The sequence below is a fragment of the Homo sapiens genome, chromosome 5 (assembly GCF_000001405.40).
Source record: "Homo sapiens chromosome 5, GRCh38.p14 Primary Assembly".
In the NCBI taxonomy this organism is placed as follows: domain Eukaryota; kingdom Metazoa; phylum Chordata; class Mammalia; order Primates; family Hominidae; genus Homo; species Homo sapiens.
In genome coordinates, this window is record NC_000005.10 from 332,536 (window position 1) to 355,470 (window position 22,935).

A 22,935-nucleotide genomic window follows, 5' to 3' on the forward strand; every position below is an offset into this window, starting at 1 on the left:
GATTACAGGTGTGAGCCACTGCACCTGGCCAATACTTGTTTTGTGGCATAATATATGGTCTGTCTTGGAGAATGTCCCATGTGCTGATGAAAAGAACGTATCTTCTGCAGTTGTTGGGGAGAATATTCTATAATGTAAATGTATGTGGAGGCCTAAAGTCCAGTTGAAATCCCATGTTTCTTTGCTGATTTTCCATTTAGCTGATCTGTCTAATGCCATGAGTAGTGTGTTGAAGTCCCCACTATTACTGTATTGCTCTCTCTCTCTCTTTAGTTCTAGGAATATTTGTTTTATAAATCTGGGTGCACCAATGTTGGATGCATATGTATGTAGAATTGTTTTATCCTCTTGCCTAATTGATCCCTTTATCATTATATAATAAATGACCTTTGTCTTTTTTTTTTTTTTTTTTTACTGTTTTTGGCGTAAAGTCTGTTTTATCTGATATGAGTATAGCTACTGCTGTTCGCTTTTGGTTTCCGTCTGTGTGGAATGTATTTCCCCACCCCACCCCCCGCCTTTACTTTCAATCTGTATGTGTCTTTTTAAAAAAATAGAGACAGGATCTCGCTATGTTGCCTAGGCTGGTCTCAAACTCCTGGCCTCAAGCAATCCTCCCATCTTGACCTCCCAAAGTGCTGAGATTACAGGCTTGAGGAACAATGCCCAGCCTATGTGTGCCTTTAGTGGTAAAGTGAGTTTCTTGTATGCAGCATATAGTTGAATCATGCTTTTAAAAATCCATTCTGCCAATCAGTGTCTTTAAAGTGGAACATTTGCCTGGGCATGGTAGCTTACGCCTGTAATCCCAGCACTTTGGGAGGCAGAGGCAGGTGGATCACTTGAGGTCAGGAGTTCAAGATCAGCCTGGCCAACATGGTGAAACCCCATCTCTACTAAAAATACAAAAATTAGCCAGGAGTGGTGGTGGAGGGCTATAGTTCTAGCTACTCAGGAGGCTGGGGCAGGAGAGTCACTTGAACCTGGGAGGCGGAGGTTGCAGTGAACTGAGATTGCACCACTGCACTCCAGCCTGGGTGACAGAGTGAGACTCCATCTCAAAAAAAACAAAACAAAAAACCGGACTGTTAACCTGTTTACCTTCAAGGTTAATATTGGTATGTAAGGTTTGATTCCTGTTGTATTGTTATTTGTTTCCTAGTTGTTTTATAAGTTATTTGTTTCTTTCTTTTCCTCTGGCTGTTTGTCATTGTGGTTTGGCTGAATTCTGTAGCAGTGCCATTTGATTCCTTTCTCTTCGTCTGTGATTGCTTTATGAGTGAGTTTTATATATACTTTTGTGTGTTTCCATAATGGTGAATGTCGTCTTTTCACTTCCAAGTTAGGGCTTCCTTGAGCAGTTCTTGTGGGACTAGTGGTGATGAATTCCCTCAGATCGGCTTTTCTGGGAAAGACTTTATTTCTCCTTCATTTATGAAGGTTAGTCTTGCTGGATATCAAATTGTTGGCCGAAAGTTTTTTTCTTGCAGCAGTTTGAATATGTCACCTTATTCTCTTCTGGCCTGCAAGGTTTTTGCTGAGAACTCCACTCTTAGTCTGATGAAGTTTCCTTTATAGGTGACTAGATGCTTTTCTCTTGATTTTAGAATTTGCTCTTTCACTTTGACTTTGGACTGATTCATGGTGCACTGTGGTAGTGTCTTTTTTGCACGATGTTTTCCTGGGGATTGCTGAGCCTCCTGTGTCTGGATGCTTAGATCTCTTGCTAAACTTGGCAGGTTTTCATATATTCCTTCATTAAATAGGTTTTCTAAGCCTCTCAATATCTCTTCATCCTCAGGAAGACCAATAACTTGTAAATTCAGTCGCTGTATGTAGTCCCAGGTATCTCACAGGCTTTGCTCATTCTTTCTCATTCTTTTTGCTTTGTTTTTGTTTGATTGGATAGTTTCAAAAAGCCTGTCTTTTAAGTTCTGAAATTCTTTCTTCTGCTTGGTCTAGTCTATTGTTGGAGCTTTCAAATGTATTTTGTATTTCTGGTTTTTTTTAAAAAATGTATCTATCTCCTTGGTAAATATCTCATTCATATTCTGAATTAATCTTCTGAGTTCTTTGTATTGATTTTCAGATTCCTCACACATCTCATTGAACTTCTTTAAAATCAATATTTTGAATTCTTTATCTGGGATTTTGAGGATTTCTTTTGGTTGAGATTTATCTACTGCTGGAGAATTGTGTTTCTCTGGGATTGTCATATTACCCTGCTTTTTCATGTTTCTTGTGTCTTTATGTTGCTTTCTGCACATCTGGTGTAATAGTTGCTTTTTCTTGTTTTGGGGTTTACTTTTGTTGTTGGGGGGCACCTTTTACTGGAGATGTGACTGGGATGTTGGTTGGGTAGGGCCCTTTGGATTTACTTCTGAGGCATGCAGCAGTGAAGCCTCTGTATGTTTTATTTGGCTATTAGCAGTGTTAGTGGTATCTGCGGCTTCCTTGGTTAGGGTGCAGTTATTGGTGGCGGCTGTGGTGAAGTTGTGCTGGGGACTGGGATGCTGGGTGGGCCCATCTTCAGGCTTCAGTGGTAGCAGCTGTGGGTTAACCATGTCTATCCTTGTGCCCCAGGGTGGCACACACTGGCACCTGTGTTGGCAGTACCAGGCAGGCTGATTCTTGGGCCTCTGGGTGGCTTTCTCAGAAGCTAGTTGTAGTAGCAGTGTACCATGCGAGTGAGCAGGCTTCCTAGTTTTTGGGCAGCCAGAGTGGTGTGGGCAATGGTGGTGGCAGTGGTGGTGAGATGCACTTTTGGGTCCCAAGCTCTGTGTGCATGTGTTGGCAGTGGTTGCAATCGGCTGTGCTGGCCAGCCTCCAGACCAGCAGCTGGCACTTGCAGGTAGGTGCCAGCTGAGGTGGTAGTGGCAGGGTGTCCCCTGGGAGAAGGGCTCAGTGTCCCAGGTGGTGGACTGTGTTGTGGGTCCTCCAGGTCGCTGGATCCCACACTCTGTCTTGTGGGCAGGCTGGGGAAGGGGGATGCTGGGCAGAGCTGGACCAGGCAAGCTTGCTCTAGCCCCCTGAGTGCATGCACCAACTGTGACAGGTGCCACTGGGTGATTTTCAGGGCCCATGGCAGAATGCCTGGATGAGGGGCAGCTGCCACAGGGAGGGTGGGGCCAGTCCTAGCAGCCAGAGCCTTGGCCATGGATGGAAGACCTGCATCCCTTTCATGCCCCAATCCCCATGTGGCATGCTCCCCCATCCTGGCTGTTGGAGACAAAAGCTGATCCATCAGCCTTGGCAGTTTGTGCCTGGCCCGCAACTCAGCTCCAGGCTGTAGGCCCTGCACAGCTCAAGACCAGGCCCCCATGGCAACTCTCATCTTGCTCAAGTCCTGGGGGTGGTGCCTGCTTCCAGTGCTGGGAGCTGCAGCCCATGCTACACTTGCCTCTTAGTCCTGGTCCACTCTCACACCTCAGTTCCGCAAGCAGCAGTCCAAGTCCAAGTTTCCCTAATGCCTCGGACTGGCACTGCTTGTACCAGGAACATGCACCGTCTGCTAAGAACTAGGATGGAGAATGGTGTCTTGCTCTAGCTGCTTAAATTTCAGAAAGGGTATGAGACCCAGGGCATGTTCCCTCCTGGAGCACTTCCTTCTCAGTCTCCCTAAATCCGATGCAGATTTAGTCTCCTGTGTCAGGGACTGCATGATTCTCCAGTGGGAAAGTGGACTGCGGGAAGACCCACCCTCACCCTCTCATACTGGGGAGTCACTCCCAGTTCCCAGCCACTCTTGGCCACACATCCTGCCTGTTTTCCTTCTTCCTAAGTTTTGCTGTTTCCTGTCACTTTCCTGCTGAACTCCCATGTTGTCTCTTGGAAAATAGATTCAAAGTGTGATCATCGACACATTATTTTGGTTCTTCTAAGTGGATGAGGTGTGCTTGAAATGCTTCTAGTCAACCACCTTTTAAAAAAAGCCTTTGCCCATTTTAAAATTGGGTTGTCTTTTTGTTGTTGAATTGTAAGAGTTCTTTGTCTATGCTGGACACTAGACCCTTATCAGATAACATGATTTGTAAATGTTTATTGCCATTCTGTGGGTTGCCTCTTCACTTTCTTGGTAGTGTCTTGTGACACAAAAATTTTTAGTTTTGATGAAGTCCAATTTATCAATTTTTTTCTCTTATTACCCGTGCTTTTTGTGACAAATCTAAGAATCCATTGCCACATTTAAGGTCATTATCCAATCAAAGCCATTAAAGATGAATTCTTATGTATTCTTCGGAGTGTTATATTTTTAGCTCTTACATTAAAGTCTTTAGTCAATTTTAGGTTAATTTTTTTCATATTGTGTGAGGTAGGGATCCAACCTCATTCTTTGGTGTGTGGCTTTGTTTTTTTTTCCTCTTAGAGACAAGGCCTTGCTTGCTACCTTGCTCAGGCTGGCCAGTTATCTCAACACCATTTGTTGAAGAGATTGTTCTTTCCCTGCTGAACAGCCTTGGTGCCCTTGTGGAAAATCAATTGGTCATTGGTCATAATCAATTAGTATCTCTATTCTTATGCCACAGTTTCTTTCTTTTTAATGTTTTTTTTTAAAGCCAAACATTTTATTATGGCACTTTTGAAATATTTTACAAAAATAGAGAAAATTATACAAAGAGCTCAATTTTTTCATCAGCTAGCATAGGTAATCAACTATCAATATTGGCTGATCCAGTTTCATTTAAAGTCCAGCCTGCCAACCCCAGCCCACTTAGACTCCACTGTCCTCCCCACTTTATAGAGAAGCAAATCCCTAACATGCCATTTATTTCATATGTGTTTTAATGTGTATGTCTAAAACGTGGATTTTAAAAAATCAGCTCTCTGTTTTTCTTTATGTGTATGTATATACACACACATACATACAGGGTCTTGTTCTGTCACCCAGGCTGGAGTGCAGTGGTGTGATCTGGGCTCACTGCAGCCTTGACCTCCCAGGCTCAAGCGATACTCCTGCCTTAGTCTCCTGAGTAGCTGAGACTACAGACATGCGCCACCATGCTTGGCTAATTTTTAAAAATTATTTTCTGTAGAGATGAGGTCTCACTGTGTTGGCGTTTTATATTTTAAATTTTTTTTTATTTGAATTGAGAAACTTTAATGTTAGGAAGTCTAGATAGCAACAGTGATGCAGCTATGGAGGGGAGAGGAGAACTCTGGATGGTGCTCCGGGGCTGCGGGAGGCCCCTAAGGAGTGCGCTTGGAAGGGGGCTCCCTTCCCAAAGCTGGGGCTCGGGCCTCATTGGAGGAGGTGTAGGTTCCGTCCCCTGGAGGGCAGAGAAGTTTGCTGAGTTGCCCTGTCTATGGCAGTGGTGAGCAGGAACACGAAAAAATAGGAAGCACTGGAACCAGGAGAGGCTCCTTCTTCCTGCTGGGCTCCTCTAGGACCGTATTCAGGCCAGTGCAACATCATGCCCTCTATAGGAAGAAATGCTGAAAGACTGCGGCTTATTAATGCAGATCAGGCAGGATGGAGAGTCTGGAGCCTACAGGCAACAAACAGGTAGCTGGCACAGCTTCTGAGTACTGTCACCTCACTTTGCGAATACATGTCTCCCCTCCCGGGTCTGTGTAGCCGCCATATACTTGATGTCCACGTTTGTTGTGAACCCCACAACACACTGTTGTTATTGCTTAGTCACTTATCTTTTAAAGATATCTAAGCAATAAGAACAAATTATGCATATTTCACCCTCTAGTAGTCAGTTCTTGCGCTTTTTGTGCCATGTTGTAGACCCATACTACAATCTGGTATCATTTTCCTTTGGCCTGTAATGTTTCTTATAGTGTGGGTCAGCTAGTGATGATTTCTTTCAGTTTTTGTGCATCTGAAAGCTCTTTATTTCACCTTCACTTGTGAATGATGTTTTCATAAGATGTAGAATTCTAGGTTTCAGGGTTTTTTCTTTCAGCTTTAAAGATGTTGCTCCACTACCTTCTTGTTTCTGATGAGGAATCTGCTGTCATCTTATTTTTGATCCTTTGTACCCAGTGCCTATTTTCTCTGGCTTTTAATATTATTCTAGGCCAGGTACGTGGCTCATACCTGTAATCCCAGCACTCTTGGAGGCCAAGGTGGGTGAATTGCTTGAACCCAGGAGTTCAAGGCCAGACTGGGCAACATGATGAAACCCCATCTCTACAAAAAATACAAAAATAAATATTATTCTACTTATTACTGGTTATGAGCAATTTGATTATGATATGCCTTGGTGTAATTTTCCTGTTTCTTGTGCTTGGAGCTCACTGAGCTTCTTGGGTCTGTAGGTTTACAATTCTCATTACATTTGGAAAAAATTTCTGCTGTTTCTTACATTTTCTCCTAACTCCTTTCCCCTCCTATTCATTAGGGGTCCAGTTACACATATATTAGGTCTCTTGAAATACCTATTTTATTTTTATTGGGGTGCTATTGTAAATGATACTAGTTTTTAAAAATCTGAATTCCAGTTGTTCATTGCTAGTATCTAGAAACACAATTTATTTTTGTATGTTATTATCCTTTTACTGTGTGACCTTGCTGGTCTCAGTAATTAGTTATAGGTAATTGGTTTTAGTAAAATTTTTGGAATTCTCTCTCTCTCTTTTTAAGAGACAGGGTCTTATTCTGTCACTCAGGCTGGAGTGCAGTGGTACAAACACAGCTCACTGTCACCGCAGCCTCAATGTCCTGGGCTCAAGTGATCCTCCAGCCTCAGACTCCTCAGTAGCTGAGACTACAGGTGTGTGCCACCACACTGGCTAATTTTTTTTAAAAGTATGTTTTGTAGAGATAGGGTCTTGCTACATTGCCCAGGCTGGTCTCAAACTCCTGGGCTCAAGTGATTCTCCCACCTTGGCCTCCCAAAGTGCTGGGATTATAGGTGTGAGCCACTTCACTCAGCCTTTTTGGAATTTTCTACATGTACAATCATGTCTGCGAACAGATAGAGTTTTCTTTTATTTTTATTTCCCAGTTTTATGACTTTTATTTATTTCCCAGTTTTGAGACTTTTACTTACTTTACTGACTTATTGCCCTGGCTAGTACACAAATAATTTTAGTGGGAATGGGGGTACACCACAGCTTTGCCTTGTTCATGGTCTTGGGGGGAAGCATTTAGTCTTTCACCATTAGCTGTGATGTTAGCTATAGGCTTTTGTAGATGTTCTTTATCACGTTAATTAAGTTTCCTTCTGTTCCTAGTTTGATGAGAGGTTTTTTTGGAAAAATTGTTATGAATGGATTTGGATTTTGTCAAATGCTTTTCTGAAAGATTGAGATGATGATGTGCATTTTCTTTTTAGTTTATTATTATAGTGAATTACAGTGATTGGTGTTTGGATGTTGAAGCTGCCCTGAATTCCTTGGATAAATCCCACTTAGCTGTGATGTATCATCCTTTTTATATATTGGTAGATTCTATTTGCCAATACCTATATTTAAGTGAGGATTTTTGTGTCTATGTTCATGTGGGATGCTGGTCTTTAGTTTTCTTTTCGTGCAATGCCTTTGGTGTGGCATCAGAGTAATGCTGAATTCGTAAATAAGTCGACAATTTTAAATTTTTTCTTTGATATTTTTTGCCAAGAGAGAATTGGTATTATTTCTTTACATTGGTAGATATACCAGTGAAACCATTTAGACCTGGGTTTTTTGATGTTGTTGGAATAGATATAGAGCTATCCAGATTATCTGTTTTTTCTTGAGTTTTGATAGATTGTGCCTTTCTAGGAATTCCTCTATTTCATCTAAATCGTTGAATTTTTGGGATAGTATTTGTCTTACTCTGCTTGGGCTGCCATAACAAACTACCATAGACTGGATAGCTTAAACAACAGAAATTTATTTCACACTGTTCTGGAGGCTGGGAAGTCCAAGATCAAGGTGCTGGCTGATTTGGTTTCTGGTGAGGCCTCTCTTCCTGCCTTACAGATGGCTGCCTTGTTGCTGCATCCTCACATGGTGGAGAGAGAGAGCTCTGATGTTGCTTCTCTTTTTATAGGGCACCAGTTCTACAGGATTAGGGCTCCAGCCTTATTACCTTAATCACCTATGAGGGTAGGGGCTCTATCTCCAATACAGTCACATGGAGAGTTAGGGCTCAACATAGGAATTTTGGGTGGACGCAATTATGTTCACAGCAATATTATATATATATATATATATATATATTTTTTTTTTTTTTTTTTTTTTTTTGAGTTGGAGTTTTGCTCTTGTTGCTCAGGTTGGAGTGCAATGATGTGATCTTGGCTCACTGCAACCTCTGCCTCCCAGGTTCAAGCAATTCTCCTACCTCAGCCTCCCAAGTAGCTGGGATTACAGGCATGCGCCACCATGCCTGGCTAATTTTTTGTATTTTTAGTAGAGACAGGGTTTCACCATGTTGGCCAGGCTGGTCTTGAACTCCTGACCTCAGGTGATCCTCCTGCCTCAGCCTTCCAAAGTGCTGGGATTATAGGCATGAGCCACTGCACCCAGCTCTATAATTTTTCTTTTTCTTTTCTTTTCTTTTTTTTAGGCCAAATCTCGCTATGTCGCCCAGGCTGGAGTGCAGTGGCATGATCTTGGCTCACTGCAAACTCCGCCTCCCAAGTTCAAATGATTCTCCTGTCTCAGCCTCCCAAGTAGCTGGGACTACAGGTGCACGCCACCATGCCTAGCTAATTTTTGTAATTTTAGTACAGACGGGGTTTCACCATATTGGTCAGGCTGGTCTCGAACTCCTAACCTCAGGTGATCCACCTGCCTCGCCCTCCCAAAGTGCTGGGATTATAGGCCTAAGCCACTGCGCCTGGCCTCAGCTCTATAATTTTTCTTTTAATGTCTGTGGGATCTGCAGTGATGTCCTCTCTTTCATTCCTGATATTGGCAATTTGTGTCTTCTCTGTTTCTTGATCAGTATGGCTAGAAGTTTATCAGTTTTGTTGATTTTTTTCAAAGAACCAACTTTTGGTTTAATCACTTTCCTTCCCCTCCCCTCCCCTCCCCTCCTTTCCTTTCCTTTCCTTTTCCTTCTTTTTTTTTTTTTTGACAGAGCCTCACTCTGTCGCCCAGGCTGGAGTGCAGCGGTGTTGGCTCACTGCAACCTCCATCTTCCAGGCTCAAGCAATTCTCCTGCCTCAGTCTCCAGAGTAGCTGGGATTATAGGCATGAGCCACCACGCCCTGCCAATTTTTCTTTATTTTTATGTTTTATCTCTTATCGACTTATTTTTATTATTTCCATTCTTCTGTTCAATTTGGGTTTATCTTCTCTTCTAGTTACTTGTTAGAAGCTTAGATCTTATTTTAGACCTTTTATTTTCTCAAATATAAGCACTTAATGCTATCAGTTTCCATCAAAGTACTGGTTAGCTGCATCCCACAAAGTCTGATATGTTTGCATTTTCATTTTTGTTTAGTTCAAAATATTTTTAAATTTCTTTGTGAATCAAAGAGGCATCTTTGATCCTTGCTTATTTAAAAGTGGGTTGCTTTCCAAATATTTGGAAAATTTCTAGATATCTTTATAGTTTAATTCCATTATGTCAAATAACATACTTTGATTTCTGTTTTTAAAAAAATTGTTAAGGATAGTTTTAAGTCCCAGAATATGGTCTGTCTTGGCGAATGTTACATGTGTAAAAACCAGATACTCTTCGGTTGTTGGATGGAGTGTTTTATAAATTTCCATTAATTCAAGTCTGTTGTCGTTTGGATATTCTGTATCCTTACTGATTTTATTTACTTGTTCTATTGATCACTGAGATAGGAATGTTAATGTCTCCCATGAATTATCCTTTTTGATTTTATTAGTTTTTGCTTCATGTGTTTTGAAGCTCCATTGCTAGGTACATTTACCTTTAGGATTGTCAGATCTTCTTGGAAAATTGACCTCTTTATTATTAAAGAATATACCTTTTTGTCTCTGGTGATATTCCTTGTTCTGAAGTCTTCTTTGTCTGGGACTCATACAGCTGCTTCATTTGATTAACGTTTGCATGTTGTATCTTTTTCTATCCATTTACTTTATCTACCTAAGTCTTTACAGTCCAAGTGGATCCATGACACATTTCTGACATTTTTATGGCACTTTCCACACAAGGTGGATATTGCGTGAGTCTGCCTCCTCTTCCAGGCTACACTCACTTCAGGTCAGGTGAGGGCTCCTTAACTTCCTCCCCAAGGCTTCTGGCCCAGAGCCTGGCACGGGATGGTTACTGCACACAGGTCTGCAGAACGTTTGTGAGGGCTCAGCTGCACCCATTGCAAGGAAAATCAAGATTCTGTGAGAAGAAGGGTGATGCCCTCTCTGAGGTGGGTGGCAGGCAAGCTGACCAGCCTGGGCACAGATACTGGGCTGCTCCTCAGGGGCCCCGCTGGGAGGCACATGCCTGTGTCCAGCACTGTTGGTGGCAGCTGGTGGGTGTAGTCAGCTGGACTCAGGGCGCTGTGAGCTAGTGACTTAAGTGGAATCCCAGGACTGTAGAGTGGAGTAGAATTTTACATAGAAAAGAGGAAGCCTGTTGGCCCAAAGCACAAGGCTATCAAGGGCAGAGATGAGAAGAGCAAGACCTGCCACAAACCGCACAGGGAGATCACACCACAGAGAGGAGATTATGCTGTTGCCCTGCATGCGCTCTTGGGGGTGATGGGATCATGTGGCCCCGTGTGTCCTCTCGGAGTGACAGGAACATGGGACCTGAGTACCCTCTCAGAGGTGACAGAAACACGGGACCCCACATACCTTCTCGGGGTGACAGGAACACGGGACCCCACATACCTTTTCGGGGTGACGTGAACACAGAACCCCACATACCCTCTCAGGGGTGACAGGAACGTGGGACCCCACGTACCTTCTCGGGGTGATGGGAACACGGGACCCGCGTACCCTCTTGGGGGTGACGGGAACACGGGACCCCACATACCTTCTCGGGGGTGACGGGAACACGGGACCCCGCGTACCTTCTCGGGGGTGACGGGAACACGGGATCCCGCGTGACGAGTGTTTGGAGGCTGCAGGCTGCCCAGGCCTTGGCTGCGCCCCGCCCCGCCCGTTCCTGGCTTCCTCGATGGCTTCCTCCTCAGGACGCCGGTCTCCCGCCACGGCGCCCTGAGCCAGGCTCCAGAGCAGGCGGCTTCTCTGGGGGAGGCCGGGACCCGCCTGACACCGAGGGGAGGCCCAGGCGTGACCCGGCCCCGGTGGCTCCTCGGTGCGGGGTGCTGGAGAGCAGGGGTCCCGGGCCAGGGGGTCCCACGAGGAGGAGCAGGAGGTGGGGGCCTCGCGGGGTCGCGGGTGTGGGGGCGCCAGGACCGCGCTGAGGGGCCCGGGGCATCGCGGCGGGAACAGGGCGCACGTGGCGCGTTCCGGTGACCGGGTGCCCCCTTGTCTTCCAGGCCGAGGACGATGATCCCGCCGGGGGAGTGCACGTACGCGGGCCGGAAGCGGAGGAGGCCCCTGCAGAAACAGTAAAGTATCCCGCCTTCTGCTTGTGTGGGTTGTTGCACCCATGGAAGGGGAGGGTTGGGGTTTGCCTTGAAAACGGAGTTTTAGGAACAGGGCGAGCGAGGAAGGCTTCGGGAGCCGGGCGGGCCGGGGCTGAGCTCCGGCGCGGGCGGCGCAGGAGTCGTCTCCCCGCAGCGCCCCGGTGCCCGGAGCCCCCGGCGAGGCTCGTCCCTGCGCCCTCGGGGCCCTGAGCGGTGGAGCGAGGCGGCGGGCACCGTGAGGCGCTGAGGCCAAGGACGCGGGCGGAGCTCCGGGCGGCAGAGGCGGAGGCGGCGGGGCCACGGCAGCTTCCCAGGCTCCGCAGGCGAGACCGCCACCCGCTGGGACGGAGGGTGTGGCACGGCCGGGTGTGTGCGTGTGTGGCGAGGCTATGCGAGGCTGTGTGTCTGCGGGTGGGGAGGGCTGCGGGGGTGTGTGCGGTATGTGTGAGGCTGTGGGGGGCTGTGTGTGGGGTGTGTGTGTGTGAGGCTGTGTGTGCGCGGGGGGAGCTGTGTGTGTGTGGGTGTGTGTGTGTGAGGCTGTGGGGGGCTGTGTGTGGGGTGTGTGTGTGTGAGGCTGTGTGTGCGCGGGGGGAGCTGTGTGTGTGTGGGTGTGTGTGTGTGAGGCTGTGGGGGGCTGTGTGTGGGGTGTGTGTGTGTGAGGCTGTGTGTGCGCGGGGGGAGCTGTGTGTGTGTGGGTGTGTGTGTGTGAGGCTGTGGGGGGCTGTGTGTGGGGTGTGTGTGTGAGGCTGTGTGTGTGCGGGGGGAGCTGTGTGTGTGTGGGTGTGTGTGTGACTGTGCGGGTGTGCGAGGCTGTGTGAGACTGTGTGTGCGGGTGTGTGTGGGGGACTGTAGGGAGCTGTGTGTGTGGGGTGTGTGAGACTGTGCAGGTGTGCAGGTGTGCGAAGCTGTGTGAGACTGCGTGTGCAGGTGTGTGTGGAGGGCTGTGGGGAGCTGTGTGTGGGGGGGGTGTGTGTGTGAGGTTGGGGGCTGTGTGGGGTGTGTGTGAGGCTGTGTGTGGGGAGTGTGAGGCTGTGTGTGTGCGAGGGGGACTATGTGTGTCGGATGATGTCCCTGGCTGTGTGTGGGGATGTGTGTGTGTGTGTGTGTGTGTGTGTCAGATGATGTCCCTGGCTGTGTGTGGGGATGTGTGTGTGTGTGTGTGTGTGTGTGTCGGATGATGTCCCTGGCTGTGTGTGGGGATGTGTGTGTGTGTGTGTGTGTGTGTGTGTGTGTGTCGGATGATGTCCCTGGCTGTGTGTGGGGATGTGTGTGTGGGGAGAGGGGTGGGTGGGTGTGTGTGTCGGATGATGTCCCTGGCTGTGTGTGGGGATGTGTGTGTGTGTGTGTGTGGGGATGTGTGTGTGTGTGTGTCGGATGATGTCCCTGGCTGTGTGTGGGGATGTGTGTGTGTGTCGGATGATGTCCCTGGCTGTGTGTGTGTGTGGGTGTGCGTGTGTGGGTGTGTGTGTGTGTGTGTCGGATGATGTCCCTGGCTGTGTGTGGGGATGTGTGTATGTGGGGGGGAGGGGGTGTGTGTGTCAGATGATGTCTCTGGCTGTGTGTGGGGATGTGTGTGTGGGGATGTGTGGGTGTGTGTGGGTGTGTGGGGGTGTGTCTGTGTGTGTGGGTGTGTGTGTCGGATGATGTCCCCCGCTGCAGGGGCTGTAGGATTCTGTGTAGATTCACAGCAATGCCACCCTCACTGCCCTAACACCTGCTGTGATAATGAGGTAAGGCCCCTTGGCGCCTGGACGTGTCAAATGCTTGGCCTTAGTGTGTGGCCGTGGTGCCTCCAAGCACTGCGGGGCCCCAGGAGGAGCTGGGGCTGGGAAACAAGGGGAGGTAAGGCCTCCCTTGGGAAGGAAGGATCCTGTTTACTGTTTACATCTTGTTTAGGTGTCTTGTTATGGTAAACAGTAAAGAGATCCCATGTCCCGCAGGGAGACCTTACCTTGTCCCTCAAGGCTGCAGTTTGCGGCCAAGGCCTCGCACTCTCTGTGCATCGAACACCAGCATGCAGTAGGCTCAGTGCCCAGGCTGACGCTGGCCCAGCGGTGAGCACATGCGCAAAACCATGCCTGGGGCCAGGCACACAGCCGAGGCCGGGACCAAGGGCTGCAGAAGAAACAGCACAGCCCTGCGCTGCTTGCGAACAAGCTCTAGCGGGGGACGGCAGTAGATACGGATGCTGCAATTCATATATAAAGGGAGGAAACATAAATACGGTGCATGCACATTTTCTAGTTTATTCGTAAAATGTCTCCCGACGGAATCACAGAAAACTTAAAATCAGCTGCCTCCAGGCAGGGAGCCAGCCTGAAGACACTTTCCTCTGAGTTTTGAAATAGGTGAGCACACTAGCTATTCAAAACACCAATACATAAAACGCAAAGGCCCAGAAACTCCTTTCTCAGGTCTTTGCAGTGGAATAAAAACACAATAAAAGCAGGAAATTTCGTTCTGATTCTTCCCCAGACGGCCCCACCACAGGGACTGCATTTGCAGCTGTGTGACAAAGCTATTTCCTCTCCTTATTTAATGTGACAAATACGTCTGCTACCCAAATCTCTCAAGTGCACAGGCTCAGGAGCACATTCCGTCGCCCACCCCCGGGGGACCCAGCTATGGAAGTGTCTCAACCCTTCCTGGCCCCCTACGTGCACCCGGCTTCATCCTTGGCCCCCAGGGACGGCGGCCCTTCACCTGCAGACCTCAGCCTCACCCTGTATAAAGCTCTGTCTTCCTCTGCTGCTACAAGAACCCACTGCAGATGCAGCATCAGCCAGGATGCTTCCACATCCCCCCGCGGGACCTGGGGACCTGGGTGAATGATGAACACGCGGAAGCTCACGTAGCTTGCTGTGCCGTGAGTAGTAAGCCCTTTGTCTCCGCCTCCGGGGTCTCATGTCTTCTTCCAGGGTCCACGAAACAGGAACGAGTTGTTAGCTTGCAAGAGTTAAAATCAAATCCCCCACACTCGTGTATTGGGAGGATGAAAACCTAGATGTGGAATTGCTCAGCCAAAGCACGGGCGTTTGTAATTTCAATAGTTGTTCCCAAACCTCCCAGCATTAGGGTTAGAGTCCCTCATCAGTTCCTCCTCCCCACGCCCCAGCACATAGTGTATTTCAGATATTGGTGATTTTAATTTGCATTCTTGTATCATAAGTGAGGTTTAAGAGCGATTTGCATTTCCTTTTCTGTGAACCGTGTTTACGCCTTTTGCTCATTTTTCTAGTAGATTGTTTATGTTTTGTGCCTCTTGATTTGTAAGAACTTGGAAACTAGGGAAATTAATTTTTGAATGGGTTTCAAATACTTTACCCCAGTTTTGATTTTACATATAGTGTTCTTTGCCATGCAGAAAAAATTAAATTTGTATGAGTTGAATTTGTCGATCTTTACTTTTGTGGCTAATTTTACATCACGATTAGGAAGATCTCCCTTACTTCAAGTTTATAGGAGAATATTCCCATTAGTTCTTCGAATACATTCCTTAAAATATATGTATTTATGTTTAAAACTTTTAAGCACTTGGGGAAGAAAGAGGAAAAAAGAGGGAAAAAAGAAAACCAGTTGTGATTTGAGGGGCAATGAAAGACAGTGAATGACTTGAATAGTCGTGAAATGTTTTCCAACTCAGACACACACCCCCACTGCACACATACAGTAGGCAAGGTGATGGAGGCTGGTGTGTCCAAGCATGGGCATCTGTGAAGGCTGCCGTGTCTTTCTCCATGGAGGGGCTGCTGGCACGTGCAGGGGTCCTGGGAACCCCTCTAGGGACCCACTCTGGGAAACTGGAGGCCAAAACACTGTTTTGATGTTGAGTCTGGGTGCCCATCCTGCACCCTCTCCTGCGGTGGGGGCCCCCTCCGCTCTGGCCATCCCAGCTGTGGCCCTTGATGCACCTGAGGGCCGTGTCCAGTGCTCTGGTCTGCCCAGCTCCTCTGTGGTGATGGGGGATGGGTCTGTGTGTGCCCTAAATTTTGTCTGGAAGGGGTGGCTGGTAAAGGCTGTGGAGCATGCCATCGGAGGTGGAGTTGGTCTAGAACCTGCCCCTGAGAGGCCCCCACAAGCACTGAGTGCAGGGGGCAGCTGATGTGGGGGAAGCCGGGCGGCCGGCTGGGACAGCCCTCCCCTTGGCAGTGCCCTTGACTCCCACCCAGCCTCGGTATCCTTTGGATGACATGGGTGATCCTGAATCCACAGTGCTCTCCCAGGAGTGAATGCCCTGTGCCACCAGGAGCCTGTTTGATGCTCCTTGTCTTCTGGGATTCCCCGGAGTCCTCAGCAGGGACAGTGCCTTCAGCTCATGACACTGTGGAAGCCACAGGGATTCCCCCCCTCCTTTTTTTTTTTTTTGCATTTTGATGTTTATTGAGTATAATTGAAGTATACGTATTTCAGCTGAACTGCACGTTTAAGGTGTGCAGCGGGTCCATTTTGACATTTGTGTACATCCGTGAAGCTATCACCAAAATCGAGAGGAAGCGTTTCTATCACTCCACGAGCTTCTTTGTGGCCCCTCGTAATTCCTCCCTCTAGCTCTGCCCCAGGCAACCTCCGATCTGTTTCCTGTCACTGCAGATGGTTTGCTTGTCCTGGCATTTTGTGCAAATGGAATCACACAGCATTTTGTCTGTCTGCACTTGGTATAAAAGTTCTGAGATTCATCCATGTTTCTAGCACCAGCCATTTGTTCTCTTTTATTGCTGCGAAATGTTCTGTTGTATGGATAGACCAAGTCTGTTTATTTACCTGTGGATGGAAGTTCAGGTCGTTCTCTGTTTTAGACTGTTACAAATAAAGCTACCATGAACATTTTTGTACAAGTCTGTAGGTTTTTATTTCTGTTGGATAAATACTTAGGCATGCAGTTGCTGGGTGACACAGCAGGTGCACGTTTAACTGTTTCCAAAGCAGTGGTGTCATTTCCCATTCCCAGACACTGTGTGTGAGAATCCCAGTTTCTCTGCATCCCCGCCGGTGCGTGGTGTGCTCAGCCTTCTTGGTTTTGACCATCCTCATGGGTTGGTGGTATCTCATCAGAGTTTTAATGTGCATTTCCCTAGTGACTAATGGTGTTGAGGATAACTTTATGTGCTTCTTCACCATCCATATATCTTGTCTGGTGGTGTCTGTTTAAATAATTGCCCGTGTTCTTATTGTCTTGTTTTCTTACTATTGAGTTGTAAGAGTTCTTTACATATTCTGGATATAAACCCTTGTTGTGAATATTTTCTTCCAACCTAAAGCTTATCTTTTCAATTTTCTTAATATTGACTTTCAAAAGACATTTGAAAACCTTTTGGCTGGGCGCGGTGGCTCACGCCTGTAATCCCAGCACTTTGGGAGGCCGAGGCGGGAGGACCACAAGGTCAGGAGATCGAGACCATCCTGGCTAACACGGTGAAACCCCGTCTCCACTAAAAATACAAAAAAAAATTAGCCGGGCACGGTGGCGGGCGCCTGTAGTCCCAGCTACTCGGGAGGCTGAGGCAGGAGAATGGCGTGAACTCCGGAGGCAGAGCTTGCAGTGAGCCAAGATCACGCCACTGCATTCCAGCCTGGGTGACAGAGTGAGACTCCGTCTCAAAAAAAAAAAAAAGAAGAAAGAAAATTTTAAAAAAAGAAAACCTTTTGATGAAGACCAACTTGTGAGCTTTTTGTCTTTTTGTGTTCTGAGAGTCCTGTAACTACCCCCAAGGTCTGAAGGATTGATTTTTGCACATTTTCTTGTAAAGTTTTACAGTAGTTTAAAGCACCTTGAAGTCTATACTCCTTTTTTGAGTTAATTTTTGGATATTGCATGAGGGTAGAGCTGGTGTCCGTTTGTTTTCTTGGATATACGGTTGATCCAACACAATTTATTGAAAAGATTTTCCTTTCCCTGTTTAATTGCCTTAGTATCTTTGTGAAGTAAATTGTCCAATGAAGACCCAAGGAAAACCAGTGTGTCTATTTCTAGACTCACACCATTCTTTTCTATTCATTTATACTTCTATGTTTTCTCTAATAACCAAATCATCTTTAATATTATAGCTTTAGAGAGGGCTTAAACTCAGTAATGTAGGTCCCCAGCTGTGCCCTTCTCTTTAATTGGCTATTCTAGGTCCTTTGCATTTCCATGTAAATTTTAGAATCAGCTTGTCAATTTCTGTAGAAATTCCTGTTGGGATTTTAATATGATTACATTGAATCTATAGATCAGTTTTGGGGAGAATTGCCATCAACAATATTGAATCATCCAATCAAAGAACATGGTATATCTTCCTGCGTATTTGGTCTTTAAATTTTTCTCAGCTCTGGTTTGAGTGTCTTTTGTTAGGTTTGTTCACAGGCATTGCATATTTTGGGGCGTCTCTTTCCGCCTGAGCTGGCTTGGTGCACCTCCCACACCTGTTTCTGTGCTGATGGGCGTTGATGAATCCTCCTGCGAGTCTCCTCTGCCCTGGAGTGAACTGGAGCTTCTCCTGCACGCCCTCAGGGCTTCTAGGCTTCTCGTATCCTGTCCGTGGCCTGTGTCCTCCTGGCTGTCCTCTCCCCACTGCCTTCGGCCATCTCTCCCATCTCTCTGGCGCCCCCATTCTGTGGCCTCTCCCAGCTGCTGTCTGCCCACTAGGTGCTCCCCTTGTTTTCTGGGGAGGTCTTGGGTGTCCTTCACTGACAGGTGGGCCCCTCCAGCCAGGGGATGCCAGTGCACACGAGAGCAGGTCCAGGTCATCCCCAATTCTCCCGCCTATTTACATCTTGGCTAGCAGCTTCAGTAATTTTTGGTGGGTGCAACATTAAAAAAAAAAAAAAAAGAAGTGGAAAGGTAACCAAAGATAAGACAAAGAATGGGAGAAAATAAATAGAAATCGTGTACTCAATAAGGGCCTGGTATCCAGAGTAGTTAAAGAATCCTCACAACTCAAAAACAAAAAGAAAAACAACCCAATTTAAAACTGGGCAAAAGACTTGAATAGCCATTTCTCCAAAGAAAATATAAAAATGGACAACAAGCATTTGAAAAGATGCTCAACATCATAAGTCATTAGAAAAATGCAAATCAAAACCGTAACAAAATACCACTTCACACACACCAGAATGGCTGTAATCAAAAAAACAGAAAATAATAAGTGTAGGTGAGGATGTGGAGAAACTGGAGGCCTGCTACATTGCCGATGGGAAAGTAAAATAGCGCAGCCACCATGGAAAGCAGTTTGGTGGTGCCCCAGAAAATGAAACAGAATTAACATATGACCCAGCAACTCTACTGCTAAGTACATGCTCAAGAGAATTGAAAGTATATATTCAAACAGAATCTTCTAGATGAGTGTTCACTGCACCGATACTCACGGCAGCCAAACAGAGGAGACAACGCAAACGTCCATCAGCAGATAGACGGATAAAGCAATGTGGCCTCTCCATACACGGGAATATTACTCAGCCCTGAAAAGGAAGGAAGCACAGAGAGCTGCAGCAGTGTGGATGAACCTTGAAAACACGAGGCTGTGAGAAAGAAGCCGGCCACAGAAGGCCACGTCTTGATTCCATTTCTACCACATGCCTTTAGTAGGAGGGTCCATGCTGAGAGCTGACTGAGGGCTGCCAGGGCTAACAGAAGGGGAATCTAGAGAGACGGCTGATGGGTAAGGGTTTCCTTCAAGGTTGGAACTAAATAGAGGTGAGGTTTGCACGGCTTAGCGACGGCCCTAAGTGACATTGAACTGTTCACTTTTAAACAGTTAGTTTCATGTTATGTGGATTATATCTCAACTGAAAACAACTGCTCTGGGTTTGGCGCTGTCAGGCTGCTCTGTGACTGGTTTACGGCCTAGGTTGTTAGACAGTGAGAAATGGAGTTTGTGCCGCAGAGTTCCTGACAGAACAGATTGTTTCAGACTTACAGCTTGCACGTGTCAGCTCACTCATAAATGCAAACACCTTAGAAAAATAAGGAACTTCTTGACAAAAGAGACCCAAACCCCTGGAAACAGCAGGCTCACTCCTGTATGTGCCAAGGTCCCAGGAAGGGTTAGTGTGGAAAGTCAGGTGGCCTCGTTCCTGTGGTCCTGCCAGTAACTGGCCCCTGCTCAGTCTCCCCATGCATTCCCAGTGGACTCCATACTGGCTGCCATCTTTTCTTTCGCATGATTGCATGTGGAAATGATATCTAGAACGAGATGGCAGTTGAAGTGGCTTCAGTGCAGTGATGGTTAAATAGGTCAGCTGTAGGGGACAGTCACTGTGAGGTTAAATGGGTTAGCCGTAGGGGATGGTCACTCTGAGGTTAAATAGGTCAGCTGTAGGGGACGGTCACTGTGAGGTTAAATGGGTCAGCTGTAGGGGATGGTCACTCTGAGGTTAAATGGGTCAGCTGTAGGGGACGGTCACTGTGAGGTTAAATGGGTCAGCTGTAGGGGATGGTCACTCTGAGGTTAAATGGGTCAGCTGTAGGGGATGGTCACTGTGAGGTTAAATGGGTCAGCTGTAGGGGATGGTCACTCTGAGGTTAAATAGGTCAGCTGTAGGGGATGGTCACTGTGAGGTTAAATGGGTCAGCTGTAGGGGATGGTCACTCTGAGGTTAAATAGGTCAGCTGTAGGGGATGGTCACTCTGAGTTTAAATGGGTCAGCTGTAGGGGATGGTCACTCTGAGGTTAAATAGGTCAGCTGTAGGGGACGGTCACTGTGAGGTTAAATGGGTCAGCTGTAGGGGATGGTCACTGTGAGGTTAAATGGGTCAGCTGTAGGGGATGGTCACTGTGAGGTTAAATGGGTCAGCTGTAGGGGATGGTCACTGTGAGGTTAAATGGGTCAGCCGTAGGGGATGGTCACTCTGAGGTTAAATGGGTCAGCCGTAGGGGACGGTCACTGTGAGGTTAAATGGGTCAGCTGTAGGGGATGGTCACTGTGAGGTTAAATGGGTCAGCCGTAGGGGACGGTCACTCTGAGGTTAAATGGGTCAGCTGTAGGGGATGGTCACTCTGAGGTGAGAGGGTCACGCCAAGCTCCTGTCATTTTAAGGTAGGTTGGGTGAGAGGGGTCAGCTCCCTCCCTCTCTGGGCTCTGTGGTGTGGAAGCCCCACAGGTGGCCCCTTTTTGTGGGTAGAGCAGGCCTGCTCTGGCTTATTAGGAGAATTGGGTGATGGCCCTCACTGCCCCTTTGTGGGGCCCCAGAGTGGCAGGCACCTGGTCTCATTTGCCCTGGGTACTCTCCCCTCAGCCCCAGCATGTACAGGAGAAACCAAGCTCGGAGCGGCCTTGGGCACGGCCCGGCTGATGCCAGGAGGACCTTTTCATGTTTCCTGGAATGTGTTAGGTTTTGTTTAGACACCGAGGAGTCCCCTAAGGATGCTGAATGAATGTGGCATTTTCTATGCTCACTCCTGCCCCGCCAGCCTGGGGCCAGGCGTCCTCCTCCCTCCTCAGGGATCCGTAGTGGAGAGGTGGAGAAATGTGCCTGTCCCGCAGCTGGGGGCCGTGCCCTGTCTCCGTGCTCTGAGCTGCGGTTCTCCGGCTGGTTTGCTTCTTCTCTCTACATCCCCTCCAGATACTGAGCTGTGCTTGGCTGTTGTGCGCTGTGGTTTTTAGTGTCTATGTCTTGAGGCATGGGTGAGCTTTAGTCCTCTTCCCGTCTTTTGTCCTGGCAGCAGCGTAGATGCTCCTAGTAAGGTCACTGCAGAGGACGGTTTCCGCCCCAGGGGGCCTGTGGCTTCTGGTGGAGAAGCCCACCTGACCCAGACCATCTCCCCACAGGAGGCCCGCCGTGGGGGCAGAGAAGTCCAACCCCTCCAAGCGACACCGGGACCGCCTCAACGCCGAGTTGGACCACCTGGCCAGCCTGCTGCCGTTCCCGCCTGACATCATCTCCAAGCTGGACAAGCTTTCTGTCCTGCGCCTCAGTGTCAGTTACCTCCGGGTGAAGAGCTTCTTCCAAGGTAGGACTCTCACCTGCTCCCACCTGTTCACTTGAGTCAGGCTGTGTCTCCCCTGAGTCCATCTGGGGCCTTGTGGCCAGGTGAAGTGTGTCTGGTGGGTTGCACCATGTGCACTCCCTTCTTCCCCCACGCTGCCCCCAGAACCTGGAGACTTGGCCCCTGGATGGGAGCTGGCTGGGCTGTGGATTTTCCCTGGGGCCAGGTCTGGCCCTAGCTGTCCTCGACACTCTCAGGGTGGGGGCCTCACCTCAGTTTGCTGGGATGGGCCAGTTTGCGCCTGGGGTCCTGGGTTTGCTGAAGCTGCGCAGCTGCTGAGGGAGGGGCTGGGGCTGTTCCTCCCCGTGCTGGGCCTCACTGGGGCTTCCCCACAGACCCCGGCTCCAGGGAATGAGGGATCGGCTTTGTGGATGAGCAGGGCTGGGCATGGTCAGGAGGCTGAGGCAGCTGACTAGGTGGGACCCGGGGGCTGCCCTGGGGTGCCGGGCGCCTCCCCCTGCCCACGCCAGGCCGTGCCCGGACACAGCTGCTGGGGCTGCCCTCTCGTGGGGAGGGGCTTCTGGGGCTCCTGCATCTCAGGTGGGGCCTCCCCAGGCCTGTGCCCTGTCTGTCCTTGGAAGCATGGCGTTTCCTTAGATTTCAGGTTATTGCTGCCCTGGGAGCTGGGATCGCTCCAGAGAACTCGCAGGTGTAGACCGTGGGGCCTTTGCTGTTGCGGGAGGGTGGGAGAGAAGCTGCTTTCAGCTTCTGTGTTGGGTGACGTGCCTGCACGTGGTTTGATTGCAGCACTTTTAGAATTAAAAACCCCGTGACCAGCAGCATGTGGCAGTTGTGCCCGGTGCCTGCACTCCTGAGTTTGAGTCAGGGTGGGGGCCTCCCCTGGGCGGGGGGCGTCTGTCTCAGGGTGCAAGAGGCTGTCAGTGCCTGGGCCCCTGCAGACCTCTGCGCACCCTCAGACACCCCCAGGGAAGGACGTGGCCCATGGGCTGCGGGAAGGAAAGTCACGGTGATGCCCAGCATCACGCGCCGTGTCCTGCCAGTGCCGGCCCCACACTGAGGGTCTTCCCCGGGTCCCGGCTGGCCGCAGCCTCCATGGAAATCAAATCCCACAAAATGTTAACAGAGCTTATCTGAGTGGTGAGGTCACAGCAAGTTTTAGTTTTACATTCCAGGTTTTCTAATTTTATGTTGAAAACTATTAATTTTATATTTATCTCTGTTCCCAGCCTGGGCCTCCTGGTGCCCAGGGCTGCTGGGTGGTGTTGGACTCAGTTTACCTGAGAGACCTGGGGTTTGCCGTATGTGCAGGATGGCAGCTTTTCCAGGAGGGTTAAGATGTGGTGCAGTTGGTGTGGTCTGGTGTGGTGGAGTGGGCACCACCCTGCATGCACCTGGGCATGGGCACCAGCATGGAATTGAGGGCAGGCTCCCAGGTTTGCCTTCTGGGACACGCCTTTCATGGATGGCGCAGTGCGGCTCAGCAGCGCCAATGGCAGAGGGCAGTCCCCGTGTCTGGACAGCGCAGGAAGGGCTGGGGCAGCCGGCAGGGAGGCTTTGTCCCG

At 48.6% G+C, this 22,935-nt stretch overlaps 1 protein-coding gene and 1 long non-coding RNA gene across 4 annotated transcripts in view, besides 5 other annotated features; both read left to right on the plus strand.

Moving 5' to 3' along the window:
• Nucleotides 1-22,935, plus strand: part of PDCD6-AHRR (PDCD6-AHRR readthrough (NMD candidate)) — a 166,640-nt gene that overhangs the window by 60,890 nt on the left and 82,815 nt on the right. For both annotated transcript variants that reach the window (NR_165159.2, NR_165163.2), the window contains exons 4-5: nt 11,358-11,429; nt 21,195-21,376. This is a non-coding gene — a long non-coding RNA (PDCD6-AHRR readthrough (NMD candidate)). The remainder of the gene's footprint in view (nt 1-11,357; nt 11,430-21,194; nt 21,377-22,935) is intronic.
• Nucleotides 1-22,935, plus strand: part of AHRR (aryl hydrocarbon receptor repressor) — a 116,572-nt gene that overhangs the window by 10,822 nt on the left and 82,815 nt on the right. For both annotated transcript variants that reach the window (NM_001377236.1, NM_001377239.1), the window contains exons 2-3: nt 11,358-11,429; nt 21,195-21,376. In NM_001377236.1, coding sequence (NP_001364165.1) covers nt 11,368-11,429; nt 21,195-21,376 — 244 coding nt within the window. In that variant the 5' untranslated portion in view covers nt 11,358-11,367. The remainder of the gene's footprint in view (nt 1-11,357; nt 11,430-21,194; nt 21,377-22,935) is intronic.
• Nucleotides 11,232-11,331: a silencer, noted in NCBI's record as "silent region_15866". NCBI's record gives its function as "represses an Ori minimal core promoter by ATAC-STARR-seq in GM12878 lymphoblastoid cells {active_cell/tissue: GM12878}" and the evidence as "EXISTENCE:reporter gene assay evidence [ECO:0000049][PMID:35858748]".
• Nucleotides 11,372-11,891: a silencer, noted in NCBI's record as "silent region_15867". NCBI's record gives its function as "represses an Ori minimal core promoter by ATAC-STARR-seq in GM12878 lymphoblastoid cells {active_cell/tissue: GM12878}" and the evidence as "EXISTENCE:reporter gene assay evidence [ECO:0000049][PMID:35858748]".
• Nucleotides 14,312-14,511: an enhancer, noted in NCBI's record as "active region_22274". NCBI's record gives its function as "activates an Ori minimal core promoter by ATAC-STARR-seq in GM12878 lymphoblastoid cells {active_cell/tissue: GM12878}" and the evidence as "EXISTENCE:reporter gene assay evidence [ECO:0000049][PMID:35858748]".
• Nucleotides 14,522-14,601: an enhancer, noted in NCBI's record as "active region_22275". NCBI's record gives its function as "activates an Ori minimal core promoter by ATAC-STARR-seq in GM12878 lymphoblastoid cells {active_cell/tissue: GM12878}" and the evidence as "EXISTENCE:reporter gene assay evidence [ECO:0000049][PMID:35858748]".
• Nucleotides 19,291-19,340: an enhancer, noted in NCBI's record as "active region_22276". NCBI's record gives its function as "activates an Ori minimal core promoter by ATAC-STARR-seq in GM12878 lymphoblastoid cells {active_cell/tissue: GM12878}" and the evidence as "EXISTENCE:reporter gene assay evidence [ECO:0000049][PMID:35858748]".